Genomic DNA, 18,052 nt, shown 5'->3' on the forward strand with positions numbered 1-18,052 from the left:
AAACTGTGTCTGTGGTTTGAGGCTAATGGGTATGAATGGATTTGCACCATACCTAGTATGTAGCCTCATTTTCTACTCTCAGATCCTCTTAGATTCCCAATAAGTAACATCAAATACTGCCTCAAGTAGTTTGGCATAGATGGGGATGCCCTACATAGAGGAGGTCATTCTAGATTGAAAAGAAAATTTAAGAAGGCAAGAAGCTAGATAAGTTGTGATCAGGGTTGGCATTCACTGAAGGAGCTATTACAGGAGACAGTAAAATGTGATGCTGGACATCAGATTCTGTCTGCAGTAAGAGGATAGCAGAGCTAATAGGGACTCACTCCAGAAGACACAGAGAAGTACTCCAAGGGCATCAGACTTCTGACATCCAGTGTGAAAGTGGGGTCAGAAGGCAGAGGATGGAACCAGGTTTCAAGCAGAAGTCAGATCTATCACAGGAGACCCAGAGGGGATTTCCTGGGTGGTTTGCTTGGTGATTCAGTCAGCTTTAATTGCCTTTCCTCCTTGGGGCTACTTGAGTAGCTTGAAGGCTCTGCTGAATCTGATGAAGACACAACAGAAGCATCAGGGTGACCTTAAGCAGGGCCTGTCCTTGGAAAGTGCGCCAGGCAAGTAAACCTGCCGGCATGTGGGAAAAGATTCACACCAAGACATATGGCTGGAGGAGGCCTGGAGGGAAGAGGAATCATGGGGCGGATCTGGGACTAGACATGGGGGCCACTGGAGGACAACTGTAGACTTTACAATTAATGCAATACTTACTTATTAAATACCTACAGCCAGCAGAGACCTGGACAGAGGAAGGCTCTGACAGGGTGATTAAAGAGGCTGGACTAGGCAGTAGACTGTAGGAAGGAACAGGTGGAAGGTAGGGGCAGGAGCAGGTTTGGGGAGATATGAAGCCTAAATCTCCCCCAGACCCCAGTCAAACAGACACAGTTACAAACCAAGCAAGAGTCAGGGTCTGCACATCCCCTTTACTTCTCTACTTTGTTTAATTCATGTCCTTCCAAAGGTGGGGTAATACAAGAGTCTCCATGGTTTTCATCAAATCTTCCACACACTCACTTCATTCACTCACTTTTTTCTTCATTTGACACATATTTATTGACCACCTACTAACCTCTAGGCACTGTGTTAGGTACTAAGGATACATCGATACTTAAGACAGACACAGTCTCTACAATCGTGGAACATATTGTCTAGAGCACATGCCAACAAACACTTTTCTGTAAAGGGACAGATAGTAAATATTTCAGTGGCTCCGAGTAGTCAACTCTGCCACTGCAGTGTAAAAGAAGCCAGAGAGAGAAAGTAAATGAGTGGGCATGCTGTGTGCCAGTGAAACTTTATTTACAAAAACAGGTGTCGGCCCATATTTGGCCTGAGGGTCATAGTTTCCTGACCCCTGGTCTAGAAGGGAAGTCTCTAAGTATATAATTGTGAGCATGCTGACTGTTTTGAGAGGGGAAGAATGATAGGAGAACAGAGAGTAAGGGGCCCTAAATTGCTGAGAAGTTGAGACCTGAGGATGTGGTGTTTAAGCCGAAATATAAAGGTTCCATAATAATAATTAGGTTGCATGGGTACTTGGGAGTTGAAAGGGCAAAGAATATTCTAGGGAGAGGGACATACATGGAAAAATGCCCAGGCATAACAGAGAGCAGGGGAAACACTCAGCTCAGCTAGAAGGAGGAATGGAATATGGAAACGTGAGAGATGAGACTGCAGATGTGTGCAAGGGGCCAACCACAGAGGGCCTGGTAAGTCAGGTTAAGAAGTTTAGACTTTTCCTAACCTAAAATAATGGGAAGCTGTTAATGGGTTTTAAACACTGAAGTGGCATGCTCACATTTGTGTGTTTGAAAGCCCCCTCCAGTGTGGGATGGAGTACAGATCAAAGTTATCAAATCAGTAGTCCGCTAGAAAGCTGAAGCCAGTCCACAGAAAAGATGATGATGGTCTGAGGATTGTGGTGGCAGAAATGATAGGGAGAAGTGGTTGAGCTTTACAACTAGTTGGGAAGTAGTCCTGGAGCAGGCAGCAAGCTCAAAAGTCTCTATCTAGGTTGGAGTCTTCATTTTACCACTTTTTGCTTTGTGGAAGAGGAAGAAACTTTGATAGGAGAGGGATACAGTCAAGGAGGGCAGGAGGTAATTGTGGGAGGGCAGGTGTGGGAGCAGGGTGAAAAGGCAGTTTGCATTTAAGGGGAGCATCTCCTCCATCCCCTCACTTCCAGCACACAAGAATGTGTAGAGTAGACTTTCTGGATAGGTTGAATGGTCTCTGTGAAATAAAGGCTCTTGTTCGTGCATAGTTAAACTGGTGTTGATAAATGGATTCCTTCTATCTAATACTTCTGTACATTTTGATGACCTTCCTCTGAATGTGATAGGCAAGAGTATACCCGTTGGTTGCTCAAAAATACCAATTACCTGATTTGATATTCTGTAATATCTAACAGACAACAGAACTTTCTTTCTAAGCACTCTCAAAGACGGCTTCAGAGACAGACAGATAATCCATTGTCATTTCAAAATATTTTAAAGATCTTTGAAAGGGATAGGTAATTTCAAAATGTCTGGAAATTTTAATGTTAGGAAATGCTAGAGGCCAAGCTGTTGCAGTTCCACTAAGGATTAAGTTGAATTTTATCTTGGTAATTAGGCACGTCTCAAGGGGAAGGGGAAAAAGAAACCAAAACCAAAACCAAAACTCAGCAAATCTCTCTACCTATGACAAAAAAAATCAGTTACCTGATAATCATTTTATTTCAGGAAAACAATAGGTGCTGTTGCTAACAGAGTAGGTGAGTAGTTAAAGGAAGATTCCTGGGAAAAGCCTCTCCCACTGGAGCATCCAGTGAAGGTATGCAAAGCGGAATAAAATCAAAGCCAGTGAGTTTTCCACTCTGCAGAACAGAATCCTATCTGAAGGGTGAATGCTAAGATTACCCAGGTCAGTCTGCCTCTTTTTTTTTTTCCCCTTGGTCCTCTTGTTTTATTTATTTATTTATTTATTTATTTTTATTTATTTTTTTTTTATTATACTTTAAGTTTTAGGGTACATGTGCACATTGTGCAGGTTAGTTACATATGTATACATGTGCCATGCTGGTGCGCTGCACCCACTAACTCGTCATCTAGCATTAGGTATATCTCCCAGTGCTATCCCTCCCCCCCAACCCCACAACAGTCCCCACAGTGTGATGTTCCCCCTCCTGTGTCCATGTGATCTCATTGTTCAATTCCCACCTATTAGTGAGAATATGCCATGTTTGGTTTTTTGTTCTTGCGTTCTTGCGATAGTTTACTGAGAATGATGATTTCCAATTTCATCCATGTCCCTACAAAGACACGATCTCATCATTTTTTATGGCTGCATAGTATTCCATGGTGTATATGTGCCACATTTTCTGAATCCAGTCTATCATTGTTGGACATTTGGGTTGGTTCCAAGTCTTTGCTATTGTGAATAATGCCGCAATAAACATACGTGTGCATGTGTCTTTATAGCAGCATGATTTATAGTCCTTTGGGTATATACCCAGTAATGGGATGGCTGGGTCAAATGGTATTTCTAGTTCTAGATCCCTGAGGAATCGCCACACTGACTTCCACAATGGTTGAACTAGTTTACAGTCCCACCAACAGTGTAAAAGTGTTCCTATTTCTCCACATCCTCTCCAGCACCTGTTGTTTCCTGACTTTTTAATGATTGCCATTCTAACTGGTGTGAGATGGTATCTCATTGTGGTTTTGATTTGCATTTCTCTGATGGCCAGTGATGATGAGCATTTTTTCATGTGTTTCTTGGCTGCATAAATGCCTCTTTATCCAGCACCCTCTTTTGGCTAGCCATCAGTCCTGCACTTCTAAGTCGACAGGAAGCAGTCAGCAACATCCCTTGACCCCTGAGTGAACTCACGATCTTAGCCCAGAGTCAAACTACTGCATAGCCAGATATCACTGTCTACACAGGCAAAGTGAAGTGAAGAGGACAGACAAAAACCAACTGCTTAATTCTGGCATCTTCCGAACCTCCTGTTAAAGAAGGAATCTTGGACTCTACCTCACCCCCACATGTCTGTTCATTGAGTTGCTTATTCACTGAGTTGGCCGATTTTATCATTGAAGTGCTCAGCATAAGTGACTGCGTAATAATCAATTTTTTTCTGGTAAAACGTAACTCAAACGAAGTTGTTTTGTGCAGCTGGGTGTGAACAGCATAGAGAATGCTGAGCCTTCATAAAAGTCATGAGTTGTGGACTGCCTCGTTTAACCCAATAAGATTGCAAACCACTTGTAGGCAGAGACTGTTTTTTACTCGCCTTTGTATTTTTTTGCAGTGCCATGAATATATAAGCTCAATAAAGTTCTTAAGAAATGCATAGTTTGATTTGTGGTCTTCCCATTCCGTATGGGCTGTGGCTCTCAAAAAAGGCTCACATCCAAATCCACTCCTTAGAGTGGATTTCTGTTTTGCTTGGGAACTACTCGGGACAATAAAGCTGCTTCAGAAAATTGAAGCTTTTTTGACCCAACCTTAAAGCTAATTTCAGGCAGATTCCTTGCAATGACTTGCAGCTGTGACTGTCATTCTGCCATGGGAAAAGTGTCAGCAAGACCAAGAATAGTAGCAGTCTGTCATCTCCCTGTTTTTGACGTTCTCATCTAAAATGTTAATTAAGAAGTTGCTGTGCACAGAATGAAAATAAAAGTCAAGAAAAGTAGCAAAGGCAAAAAGTGCAATTGTGGTAGTATTAAAATACACATTTTGTTTTCCTGCATTGTACATGAGCTCCATTCCACTCATTTTGGCTGCAAGCATGTTGTAACTAGCAAACAAATAACACTGATGCCCATAACATGAGAGGAAAATTCAGTAAATACATGGTTTTGGTTTTTGTTTTAAATCTATTACCAAAGTTAGTTACTTAAATAGATTCTGTTTTGATTAATCCATTACTAACTGAAGCTGTGCTTTTATTTCACACATTTGTTTGAGTTTTTCATGTCTTGCGTTTCCCAGTAGAGAGGGCAACTCAGCAATGCTTTTATGAGTCAGTACCTCAGGTGAATTTACAAGGTCTTCATTTATTAGAATTAAATTTTGAAATAAAAATATAATCACAAGATTTTAAATTGTGAATTAGTGTTGCTGGACACATATAAGTACTTTGATGATAATATCAGAATATGAAATCTGAAGATGATTACTTCTAAGCCTAGTTTAATAAAAATTCATATTTACTTAAGGGTTTGTATGGTGGTTATCTTTTATAGTTTAGGTTAATTCTTTCATGAAGCTTTCAGAGAGCATTCAACATTTTATTTATTTATTTATTTAACAAACAGTGGATTCATTCACAGGCTCAGGGCTCACTCTGTCTGGGAAGGGGATAGCATCAAAAATAGTAGACTGGATGGAATTGAAGCTTGGCCTTTAACCTTTGCTGAAAGGATAATATTTCAGCTATCTGAAGAATGTGTCAGAGAAGGGAAGTGAGCTCCATAAGATAAATGGAGATGGAGAAAAAGAAAATTATTGCAGACCAGAGAAATCAATGAATCCATAGTATTTGTTGATCAGCTACCACTCCTGCTAACTCATGACATGTTTTTATCCATCCCTTCCACGAATTGTATAAAAGTTTTACTGAAACGTGGCTAGGAATTTTCTGTCTTCCCTGATGTCAATCAGATGTTCTTTCAATTCATCAGAAGTAGTTACATTTTAACATTTTTAACAAATGAGTTTAAAAACAGCAACAAATCTTTTTTAAAAAAAATAGAGGGATTTTAAACATGCTAGAAAAAAGTTTCTGAGTTTCTTAAGTAAGTTACAAGTTTTTAAGGTAAAATACATTGCTTCTTGCACTAAAATAATAAAACGATGGGAACATTTCCAGACATTTGCTTCCACAGTGTTCTCTCTATAGCCAACATTTCCTTTCAAATAGCAGGTCGTTTTTAATGTATTGTTGTAAGGTTACCATTACAGTGAAGGGAAAGTTTACATTTATGGCTCATTAAAAGTTCGTATTAGAAGGAGATGCAAAAGCTCTAAAATTTTCTTACTGATCACTTGCTCTTTCATTCTAGTATTATACTGAATGTAATCTCTATTTAATTTGTAGAAACTTTTTAAAACCACTTGTATATTTGGAGATTATTAGATTAGTTAGAATTAAATAATACAATCCATTTAACTATGGCATATATCAATTGCAACACATCACAATTCAGATAATTCAGGCAAGTAACTCACTCTTCCCATGATATTGATGACCTAGGACCATTGACTGTATGAAGCAAGTGTGGGAGGTGGTGCTAATTCTTATATCACATATTGGCGTATTTCATTTCATTGATATTTTTGCATATAAAAATGAAAGTTGTAATGTTTTCCCATACCTCAGTGGATTATCTTTTTTAAAAACGGACTATTTTTAGAGCAGTTTTAGGTTAACTGGATCATCTTTTGTATCTCTGCTTGCACCCTATTTTTTTTCCTTCAACTTTTATTTTAAGTTCTGGGATACATGTGCAGGATGTGCAGTTTTGTTACACAGGTAAACATGTGGCATGATGGTTTGCTGCACAGGTCAACCCATCACCTAGGCATTAAGCCCAGCATCCATTAGCTATTATTCCTGATGCTCTCCCTCTCCCCATGCCCCTGACAGGACTCAGTGTGTGTTGTTCCCAACCATGTGTTTATGTGTTCTCATTGTTCAGCTCCCACTTATAAGTGAGCACATGTGGTGTTTGGTTTTCTGTCCCTGCATTAGTTTGCTGAGGATAATGGTTTCCAGCTCCATTCATGTCCCTGCAAAGGACATGATCTCATTGCTTTTTATAGCTGCATAGTATTCCATGGTGTATATGTATCACATATTCTTTATCCAATCTATCATTGACGGGCATTTGGGCTGATTCCACGTCTTTGCTATTGTGAATAGCATGCACCCTATCTTGACAATCACTATCTGAAATGAGTGGTAAGGTGATGGCAAAGTGTATAATGACTTCTTACAGCTGTATAATTTGAATCTCCCTAGATCTCACAAGAAATACCATTAACAGTGACATTTTAAATTTCATTGTCTTTTTGGACTTAACTGCTTACTGCAAGACATTCAATTTCCCCTAAAGCCCGTTAAATGACTGATGGGTCTGGCCGGGGACATCTTACACATATTTATTAGTCATCTTTTCAAGCTCCCCTCCATGCCTTCCTTGTTGGTGTCTGCTGTCCAGGCCATCATGCAAAGAGGATGCTTTGCCACTGTCCCTAGAGCTTTGGTCTGTGGTGAAAATGTTGACCCTGCCCAGAGCCCTGCATTCTGCAGCTTCCCCAAGATGCTGAAACTTGAAGTGTGTTTTGGAGGAAAATGAGTAACTCGGGACAATAATTTGGTTGGCATGATGACATGATCCAAATGGAATATCCTCAGTTGACATCTATGTCTCTTCAGAATTTTTCTACTTTTATGATTTTTAATTTCACAATTACTTTCAGCCAAATGTTCCTGCCCTGCATTATTTGTAACACTGAGGAGTTGGAAGCAACTTTTAAATTGCTGGCACAGTTTCACTATTACAAACTCCACAGAGTACAATTATTTCATTGGCAGAAAATGCATTGGAAGAAAGAAAACTAGGGAAAAAAGAGAAATGTATTTATTCACCAATACATTTTTTAAAAGCAAAAATAATTAACATTTGCATAGTTGCAAAACTAACTGATGATGAACCCAAATTTTCCATGCAGGAAAAAAAATTGTATTTGAGACATATTTATTTTTTAAAAAAAGAAACAATCTTTCAAACCAAATATTCATCCAAAGCTAAGTTGTCGATTTTCATCACTGCCATTTTGTTTGGAATTTAATTGCTTATAATCAAATTGTTTTCAGCCATGTCACCTGGAGGAAACATCTTTTTCCCTGGTTCTGAGTCATTTTCTGTCACTGCAGTTCTGAGGTGCACTCATTGAGTCCCAGTCATTTACAGAGAGGCCCAGGGAAACAGGTGCTTGCTTCAGCCTGCAGCTGTGCCTACCAAGAGGCATGGACCAATCACTGCAGCTCTCTGAATGCTCCCACTTCTTTCTTCAGAAAGCTATTTTCACCTGTACTCCCTTGTCCCACATGTGGACAACTCAAGGGACCTGGCAATCTGATCAAATTCAATACTGGTTCAATATTGGAAACTTCTTTATTGAACAACATTTTATAACTTTAACAATATATTCACATTTATTATCAATCATTTAATTCTGCCAACACACCTGTGAGGTAGTCAGAGCAGAATTAGTCTGAACATTTTTCAGATGAGAAAAGTGAGTTGTAGAGCTGGAAGGAAAGTTGAATTTTATTTATTTATTTATTTATTTATTTATTTATTTATTTTTATTTTTATTTTTGAGAAAGAGTCTCACTCTGTCACCCAAGCTGGAGTACAGCGGCTTGATCTTGGCTCACTGCAACCTCCACCTCCCAGGTTCAAGCAATTCTCCTGCCTCAGCCTCCTGAGTAGCTGGGATTACAGGCATATGCCACCACCCTCAGCTAATTTTTGTATTTTTTCGTAGATACAGGGTTTTGCCATGCTGGTCAGGCACCTGACCTCAGGTGATCCACCCCCTTTGGCCTCCCAAAGTGCTGGGATTACAGGCTTGAGCCACTGTGCCTGGCCAGAAGCTTTAATATAATTTAAAAGTCCAATTCCCTGATTTTCCATGGTGCATAGGGTAGTCCAGACAATTTAATACTTGTTTTAAACAGAAATATTCTATCCCATCCCTCCTACCCAACAAACTCTTCTAAGGAAGTACCATATGTACCCAGATATAAGAAGACATTTTATTAATATGAATTTGCTGGTATAAATTGAAATTTATTATGAGTTCAATCAATGAAAATAATGAGACTAGCTTTCCAAACATGAGAGCGAATTAGAAATTTGGGGTTAGGAATGACAATAGTTCTCTTATCCTCAGTATTGAGTCATTTCTCCACTTGTTTCAGTTTTACAATATTTGGAATACACTGGTCCAGTAGATAGGATAGGGAGACTTCCAAGATGGTCTCTGCCTCAGTCCGCTTTGCATTTCTATAGCAGAATGCTATAGATTAAATAATTTATAATGGACAGAAATTTATTGGCTCACAGTTCTGAAGGCTAGGAAGTCCAAGATGGAGGAGCCAATATTTGGCTAGGACCTTTCTGCTGCATCATCCCATGGCAGAAGGCAGAAGGGCAGGAAAGAGAGAAAAGAGGGCTGAACTTGCCCTTTTATAATGGCAGTAATCCCACCCGTGAGAACAGAGCCCTCACAGCCTAATCGCCTCTCAAAGGCCCCACCTTTTAATACTGTTTCAGTTGCGATTAAATTTCAACATGAATTTTGGAGGGGACAAACATTCAAACCATAGCAGTCCCTAATGATCCTTGCCTCCTGGTATTTATATCTTCATGTAATTTCCTCCTTTGAATATAGGCTGGACCTAGTGACTTGCTTCTAATGAATAGGATACAGGAAAGGCAATTAGCTGCCTTTTCCCTATGTATGAGACTAGGTCACAAAAAGACTGTGACTTCCATCTTGCTAGAACTCACTTTCTCTGGCCCTTCTCGCTTGCTGCCTCTGATGAAGCACACTCCCTGGCTATGAGCTGCCCTATGGAGAGATCTATGTCAAGGAACTGAGAATGGTCTCAATAGCCCTTGAGAAACTGAATTCTGCCAACGATGACATGAGTGAGCTCAGAAGCTGATCCTTCCCCAGTGGAACATTTAGATGACTGCAGCCCCACTCAACACCTTCATTGCAGCGTGTGAGAGTTGCAAACCCTGTTAAGCTGCACCTAAGTTCCTGACCTACAGAAACTGTTAGATAATAGATGTTATTTTAAGCCACTGAGTTTTGGAGTAATTTTTATGCAGCAATTGATAACGAATACACCAGGCAAGTAGCTTCAAAAGGATGTGGATTTTGAACAACTCCCTTGCAATTTTTGGATTGTTTTGAATTCAACAAAGCAGGCAGTCAGGGGAATTATTTTTCCTCAAAAATTACGTTTTCCTCAAAAAGTCGATTAACCCCAAAACAGAAAGAAATGAATATAAGATCTCCAATGTGGCAGTCTGTGTAATAAAATACCTTTGATTATTCTTCTCTTTCTCTCTCTTTTTTTTTTAACAGTGTAAACAAACAGACTTTCAAGAAGTGAATTTTATGTGAAATGTTTGTGGAAATCTTGGAAGATGACAAATGTAGTGCAAAGAGCCCAGGCCTTAAAATTAGACTGAGGTGTGGAGCCTTGGTTTTCTCATCATAAAATTGGAATCATAATACCTCATGGATTCTAAATGACAAAGGCACTCAGTTCATTGCCTGGTCAATTGATGCCCTTTAGCTTCTCTTATTGCAGGTGATAAAGTTGAGGCTCAGAGAGGTGGAGTGACTTGATGTGCCCAGAAAGAAGGGGGTCTAGGGCCGCCACTAATCTGATATATCCCCAAGTTACTAAGCAATAGATTGGCAAATTTTGAGCTCCAAATCCAGAGCTCTGGCTTCCTCCACATCACAAAATAAGTCCCAAACCACCAACTCTGCATGTCTAACTCCCAAGAAGAATTCTCCTTGGGACTTCTGTTAAAACCAGCAACTCTCGTGGAGTTTGTGACACACTACGAACAAAGGCTTACAAAGATAGCTGGAAGAAGAGTGGCACTTCCTTTGGAGAAACCCACATTTAAAATGCCATCTTCTAAACGCAATCTTCCCTCCACCTCTATCTTCGATTTTGACATTGATAGAGAAGCTTTCAAGAAAGCAGCATAACTCAGTTAGATGAAGCTACTAATTTGAAGGAACAATACATAATGAATGGCACTTATGTGTGGTGATTGTAACAGCAATTGTCTTCTGCCATTTTTCTCCCTGAGACATTTTATCTTGTCTTTCTCCTCCTTTTTGTATTGTTAAGGACTATTGCAAGTATGTGTGTGTGCATGTGTGTGTATGTTTGAGAGAGAGAAAGACTATGAAAAGAAGAAGAAAGAGTGAAAGAGAAGAATTGTCTTGGAAGAGAAAAGGGTATAGGAAGAGATGAACCATGACTACAGCTGTGTCTGGAGGAAATAAGAAAATCTAGACTGTTTTAGAGGGAATGAACTTTCCCCCATGTTCTGGGTGTCTGGTCAATAGGATGAATGAAAAACTCTGCCAGCCTTCAATCCTCATGGCATGGTATGAAGTAGCACAGGGTACTTCCAGCTGCATCTGCCCCTCTGCTTTCCAACCTATGAAGACCAAAGCAGAGAGCTTCAGGAGCACTAACTCAATCTTTTGTCCTCCTTTTGGCACTTAGCTAATGTTTCTTGGGCATGAAAAGGGAAGTCATTGGGCTTATTGAAAACTTACTGCACATTCTGATGTAACAAAAGCATCTGGGTAAAAATGTTCCAAAGAAAACCCATTTATGAATCAATAAATGAAAGATAAAGAAAATATGAAACTGTATCTAATCACTTGCTTACTTTTTTGTCCTTTCCTTTTTCTTGGAATATCCATGTCACTGATGTGTCATACTTCTTGGCAGTATGTCAATTAACAATAATCACACCTTGGATAAACCTCATTGCTCACATTACTGCCACCATGCAAAGCTTAGCTCTATTTTAAATCAAAGGAATTTGACTCAGAGCAAAGAAACTATTTGCCCAAACTTTGTAGATCTTTTGACTCTTCAGAGTTTGCATCATGTAGTACAAAAACCACTGCCAGAAGATAGAAAGACCTGGTTTCTAGTCTTGGCTCCGAAAGTGATTCCCCAGGTGGGTCGTAAGGAATGGTGTGATACTTGCAAGGCTCTCTCCTTTGCACCACATTCAGAGCAATCTAAATCTTCTCCCTATCTCCACAGCCATGACTTTGTCTAAGTCACGTTGCTCTCTTATCTGCGCCACCCAACTGTCTTCCAGCTCATCTGTCTGCTTCATTCTCATTCCTTCCAACCCATTCCTCTCCATGCAACTGTCAGAATATATTTACAGGAGTAAATCAAGGCATGCCACTCTCTACTTAAATCCCCCACAGCTTTTCCCTGCCCACCTTTACCCCCTCATCTCTTGTTTGTACCATCTGTCCAAGACACACCTGCCACTCTTATCTTTTGTCAGTTCTTAAGCCAAACTCCTTCTTGCTTTTTTTTCTCTGTCTAGAACACTCTTCACCCAGTTTTCCCAAATCACTCTTGAGTTGGTAGGTAATAAATAGTAGTTAAAAGTAAATGAGTAAATGAATGAATAAATCAACCCCAATTTTATTATTTGCTCTTTGTCATACTTCATGTTAAATATCAGGTCCTAAGATATTTTCTAACTATTTTAACAAAAGGAATCATTCCCCATATTCTCACATACCCATTTTATATTCTTCTTGGCACTTACCACAATCTATAGTCTTTCTTTTCTTTTGTTGTTTCTGCTGTTCACTTGTTTATTACGTGTCTTTTCCATCTGAATTTAAGCTCCCTGAAGGCAGGGATCATTTGTGTCTTTTTCAGCATTATATTCTCAATGCCCATCATGGCAAAATCCCTAGCACAAAGTTGGTTTGCAATAAATATTTTTTGAAGCAAATGAATAAATGAATGAACTAAAGTTCTACCATATTTATCCCTTATCTAATGGCCTTCAAAGGCTCTCCATAGCTTGTAAGAGAAAGACTGGATTCTTTGTGTAATCTAGAGATGCTACCTTGATGCAATTTCTCTTGTCGAGTGTTGAAAAATTGTTTGCATTTTCAGTTAAGCCATATTTTCTTAGCCTCCATATGTCTGCCCTTCCCTGCACCTCTTGACAACACACGCTCTGCTATTGTAGTATATAATGCCAGGACAAGTATCCCTGGGAGCATGTAACACATGTGACACAAAGTGCTTGACTGAAATGTTAGCCCCTACCTTATCTGAACATAATCCTCTTGACTAACTTCTATTTGTCCTTCAAAACTCAACTCATGTGCCCATTCCACTGGGAAGTCCTTTGATTCCTTTGTCCTCTCTGTCTGCCCTTCCCTGTACCTCTAGGTAAAACATGCTGCCTTCTGTTGTAGCACACACCACACACTCAAGTAGGACGTTTCCCCAACTAGAGAGTTTGTTTCTTGAGGGCCAAGCTTGTTTCTTATTACCCTGTTTCTTTGTTGCCTAGTATGTAGTAGATACTCCATATATTCTTGTGAATAAATATTAGTGAACGGCTGACTCATTCTTTCAGAATGATGCAGGAACCCAAGAGATACCATTTATTACTAAGGGGACATCCTGTAGAATGCACTTAAGCTCAGGTAATGAGTTAATCACCATTTAGTGCTAAACTAAAACATCCTATTACCATGGCCTGAATTAATATTTTAAGCTGCCAAAGCTTTTGGCTTTGCAAACCACTGTCACTCGAGATCAACATTCCCAGGAATGTTGCAAAGACTGTGGGCAGCTGTAGGGCTGTCCTGGCTTTGTCCTTGCAATAAAAATGTAAACCCTGACTTGCTTTTAGAGTTGCCTGATTTTGACAATGGAATTGACCACTTAGAAGGCATAAGTGCGTGCTACGTTCAAGCTGAAGTCTGAGTATTATGTGAAGTCTTGAATAAAAAGAGCCTGAACCTTAAAAGGTATCAGGCAAATGGAGAGGTTCTATGTGCCTTGTTTGTCAGGTGTGGCTAGTGGCCCACCTGCATCAGAATCATCAGGGCCTTAGCAATGGCTGGGGGGGCCACTGTGAGATGGAGCATACTTCTCAAGTAGGGATGGTAGAGCTACAATCTCCCTCAAGCCCAGCCAAAATGAAGACTCCTGGAAAGTCTCTCTCTGCTCTTGTTTAAGTCTTGATGTTCCCTTCTTTCCTTTCTTCCACTTTGTAAAGTGAGAAAAGAATCAAATTGATATGAGGTGGAACCATGTTTTCTCTAAAAAAAAATTAGAAATAATAAAAGTATCACTTCATATTTGTCTATCTGTCCAGTGTTTTAGAATTACAGGATACACACCATTCATGGAAAACAGCCATAAGCATGACGGAAACATCTGAAACTGTGTATTTGAAAATAGAAAATGAGTCTCATAAAGCATTGTTTTTCAAAATCTGTCTAAAACCACCTAGAATGTTTTGTTTAAAATACAGCTTCTCATTGTGGAAGACAGTGTGGCAATTCCTCAAAAACCGAGAGGCAGAAATACCATTTGACCCAGCAATCCCATTACTGGGTATACAACCAAAGACTATAAATCATTCTATTATAAAGACATATGCATGTGTATGTTCATTGCAGCACTATTCACAATGAAATAATCTGAACGACAAACACCTGGGAAACACCCATGAAACAAGTTTACCTACATAACAAACCTGCACCTGTAGCCCTGGACTTAAAATACAAGTTTAAAAAATAATAATAAAATAAAATGTAGGTTCCCAGACTACTGAAAGACACAAAGAGGTAGAGGCAATCTGGTGCAGCCTGGGAATGTGCATTTTTTGTGAGCACCCTGGGTGAGTCACACACTCAAGTTTCAAGAAGCCACTTTGAAAGCATGTGTTGCTTTTGTGAAAGGGTAGCAGGGCTATGGGGTTAATACCAGGACAAACGTCCCGGGGAGCATGTAACCAGAGGATTTGGGCAGGATTGAAAAGGAAAGTTATTTTAGAGGAAAAGAATGAAAGAAACTCAAGATCCTGAATTGAAAGGGCTAAAGTTTGCATGGCAGAAACGAGGCACTGACTACAAAGGGCGGCCTATTTTTCCCTGTGTAGGGATAGGGCGTGTGGGCACAACTGCCATCATCAAAGGGTTTTTCCATGCGTCACTAAATACAAAGTGGCTCTGAGACCACAATCACCTATTATTAGAAATGTAATAGTCATATCTTATTTTAAAACCTGTTTTTAATCTATTGCCACCTGTAAAACTAGACTAAACAGATCAAATCTTAAGGCTATCTAAAAATACTCTGAGCAGAAACATAATTAAGGTTCTAATTAGAATTATTATTTAGTAGGCTATGTAGACAAGCCTGAAGAGATAAGCCCCTATCAGTGGCATTAAGTTCTAACTGACTATTAAATTCATGGGTCTACGCCATGTGTTTTTTTGTCAGCATAGAAATTATGTTGAACAGGTTTCAAAACCCAAGTAAAGATTGAAATTTATTTTCATTTAAAGGATGTTCTAAGTGCAGGGATTTCAACAGACAAAACAATGTATTGCTTGGAGGTTTCTAGCTCATGAGAAAACTTGGCTATAGGGCTTATGTTCCCGAAATTTTCAGATACCACTTCAGGGTGGACGAAGATAGCAAGAGAGAAAGAGCATGTTTGATTCGCCTTCTCAAGGTTGTTGTATTTGTGTCATATGCAATAGCAGAGTGTAAAATCTCTTGACTTAACTACATACCATAGAAGCCACTCGTTGTGCAGAAGAAAAAAGTAAATATTTTCAGATATAGTCAATCCTTCATTTTTTTGTGCTAACAAGGAAACTGAGTAACATAGACTTCTAAAAACATGTGATATAAGCATTTTTGGTATTTATGTATTAAGTGGTCATTGGAAGAAAACATACACTCAAAATAACAATTCAAAGTAACAGAAATCATGGGCTCTCCGTGCAGAAACCCACCTCCAGATGAGATGAAAAATGTTTGGGCTTCATTATCTGGTTTCCTTACCCAAATATTTCATGGTGGAAACCACTTCTCAGGCACATGAAAAGAGCCAGTCTACAGAAAGTAATCATTTCTCTCTCCTTAAGTTACCTACCCAACCCACAGTTTCCTTGAGATTAGTAAAGGTTACTAGATGTTTTATTTGAAGAGACCGATGGCACCTGGGGGAACCTCTACTCCAGTTGCCTGCAGGCCCAACCAGTGAGGTCACCGGCCACAGTACAGGAATGTGTTCTTTCTGGAAGCAGCAAGTCTATCACGTTCCTTATCCCAAAAATGTGTCTCAGAGATCTCATAGCCTTCCCCACCCACAAGCCAGCTCTTTTCTCCTTAAACTCATAAATATCACCACAGTTCTTCAAACAGAAACCCAAGCATCTGGGCTCCTCCTGTCCATCATCTCTACATACAATCCTATCAAGCAGATTTGTCACTTTCTCTTTTTTTGAATATCCCTCAAATTCTACAGTTCCTCTCTGTTCTCAGTGACATCTTTCCCAAGCCATCATCGCATCTTGTCTGACTAGTGCTACAGCCTAAGCAGACACCCTTACCTCTACTCTTTGCTTCCTTCCTTACATTTTACACAGAGCGGCCAGAGTGATAGTAAAACATAAATTATGTCTTCTCACACCTGCTCACAAGCCTTTAATGACTTATCATTCCATTTAGGAGAAAATAAGAAATTCTTGACAATGCCTACAAAATTCAGCGTTACTCAGCCACTGCTTATCAGCCCAGCATGATCTCCTGCCACTGTTTCTCTTGCACAGAACCTTCTAGAACTCTGGTCCTCTTTGAAGATGTCAAGGTCTTTCCTCCCTCAGAGCCTTCACACATACTGGCCCAGAGTGGTTGATCCTCCCGCAGGCATAACGGAATCACCCAGCCAGTCCTATATTTCCATCGTCCCTCAGCTCCACTATCATTTCTTCCATGAGGACTTCTCTGATTCTCTCACCCACCTTAACTGAATCCTCTCTATAATTGTTTGATTAATTCAATTTGCCTCTTTAAAGTAGAGGCTGCAGCCGGGCACAGTGGCTCACATCACCTTGGGAGGCCAAAGGGGTGCATCTCTTGACCCCAGGAGTTTGAGACCAGCCTGGGAAATATGGTGAAACCTCATCTTTACAAAAACTACAAACATTAGTCGGCTGTGATGGCATGTGCCTGTAGTTCCAGTTACTCAAGAGGGTGAGGCTGTAGGATCACCTAAGCCCCAGGAAGTCAAGGCTCCAGTGAGCCAAGATTGTACCACTGCACTCCAACCCAGGCTACGGGAGGGAGACCCTGTCTCAAAAAAAAAAAAAAAAAAAAATAGAGTAGAGGATTCACAAGGGCAGGGATCATGTACATTTTTCTCACCACTGTATCTCCAGAGTTGTATCTCCTGGCACAGTTCAGAAAAAATGTTGTCGAATGAAGAATAATTGAGAGAACTATTTCCTTTGTTATGTTAACACAAGAATTAAAAACTCCAAGAGAAATACGAACACGTGGATTTCCAGTTGTTTCTATGGCGGGTTCCAGTTTTCCATACAAGAGCAGCAACTGAGTGGGAGTAATGCCAGGGCCCTGAAGTCCTTCCCACTTCAAAGCTCATCAGCAGCAACTCAAGAAGGGATTAATAAAACTCCCTCTTTCCTGGGACATGTTAGTGTCTGTTCTTGAAGCAATGCAGAAATAGATATTTTTTATGGTGAATGGTATTTTCATTAACCAAGTTACCTCCATATTCTTTGAAGTATGTCATCAGATTCTTCAAAAAGAATTGTAAAATTAAGGACAAATGATTAAAGAGCTGCTGTTAGCAGTGAATTATACTCTAACCATCTGGGTCTTTGAGATCTTTTTGCTTGGTTAACCCTGGATTTTCCACTTACTGAGGCTCTCAGTTTTTCTCCTACACTTCTATCCTTAAAATGGGTATAAGACTTAACAGATTTTTTTTTTCTGAGGCTTTGAGACTATGGAACTCACAGGGATAGCCGAAGGTACCAATCTGAAATATAAGAAGCATAAAGTTGGCAAGTTGAGATGAGTCTTCAGAGATAGTGGTCTGAACTCACAGAATTTGTCTAAGAACAATGATGTCCTGCCTGATAGTTGGACTTAGATGATAGAATAAGAATCTGGTATTCAACAACTAAGTATTTGCATTAAATATCCTGACATAGGCACTAATCTGATGCAAATGTAAATGTTCAATAATTTTCTCCTTTCCTCTCTCCCTCCATTCTTTCCTTCCTTCCTTTCTTCCTCTTTTTCTTTTTCGTTCATTCATTTATTCTTTTGTTTATT

At 39.7% G+C, this 18,052-nt stretch overlaps 1 annotated feature.

Moving 5' to 3' along the window:
• Positions 271 to 320: an enhancer, noted in NCBI's record as "active region_7599". NCBI's record gives its function as "activates an Ori minimal core promoter by ATAC-STARR-seq in GM12878 lymphoblastoid cells {active_cell/tissue: GM12878}" and the evidence as "EXISTENCE:reporter gene assay evidence [ECO:0000049][PMID:35858748]".

The sequence above is a fragment of the Homo sapiens genome, chromosome 13 (genome assembly GCF_000001405.40).
Source record: "Homo sapiens chromosome 13, GRCh38.p14 Primary Assembly".
In the NCBI taxonomy this organism is placed as follows: Eukaryota; Metazoa; Chordata; class Mammalia; order Primates; family Hominidae; genus Homo; species Homo sapiens.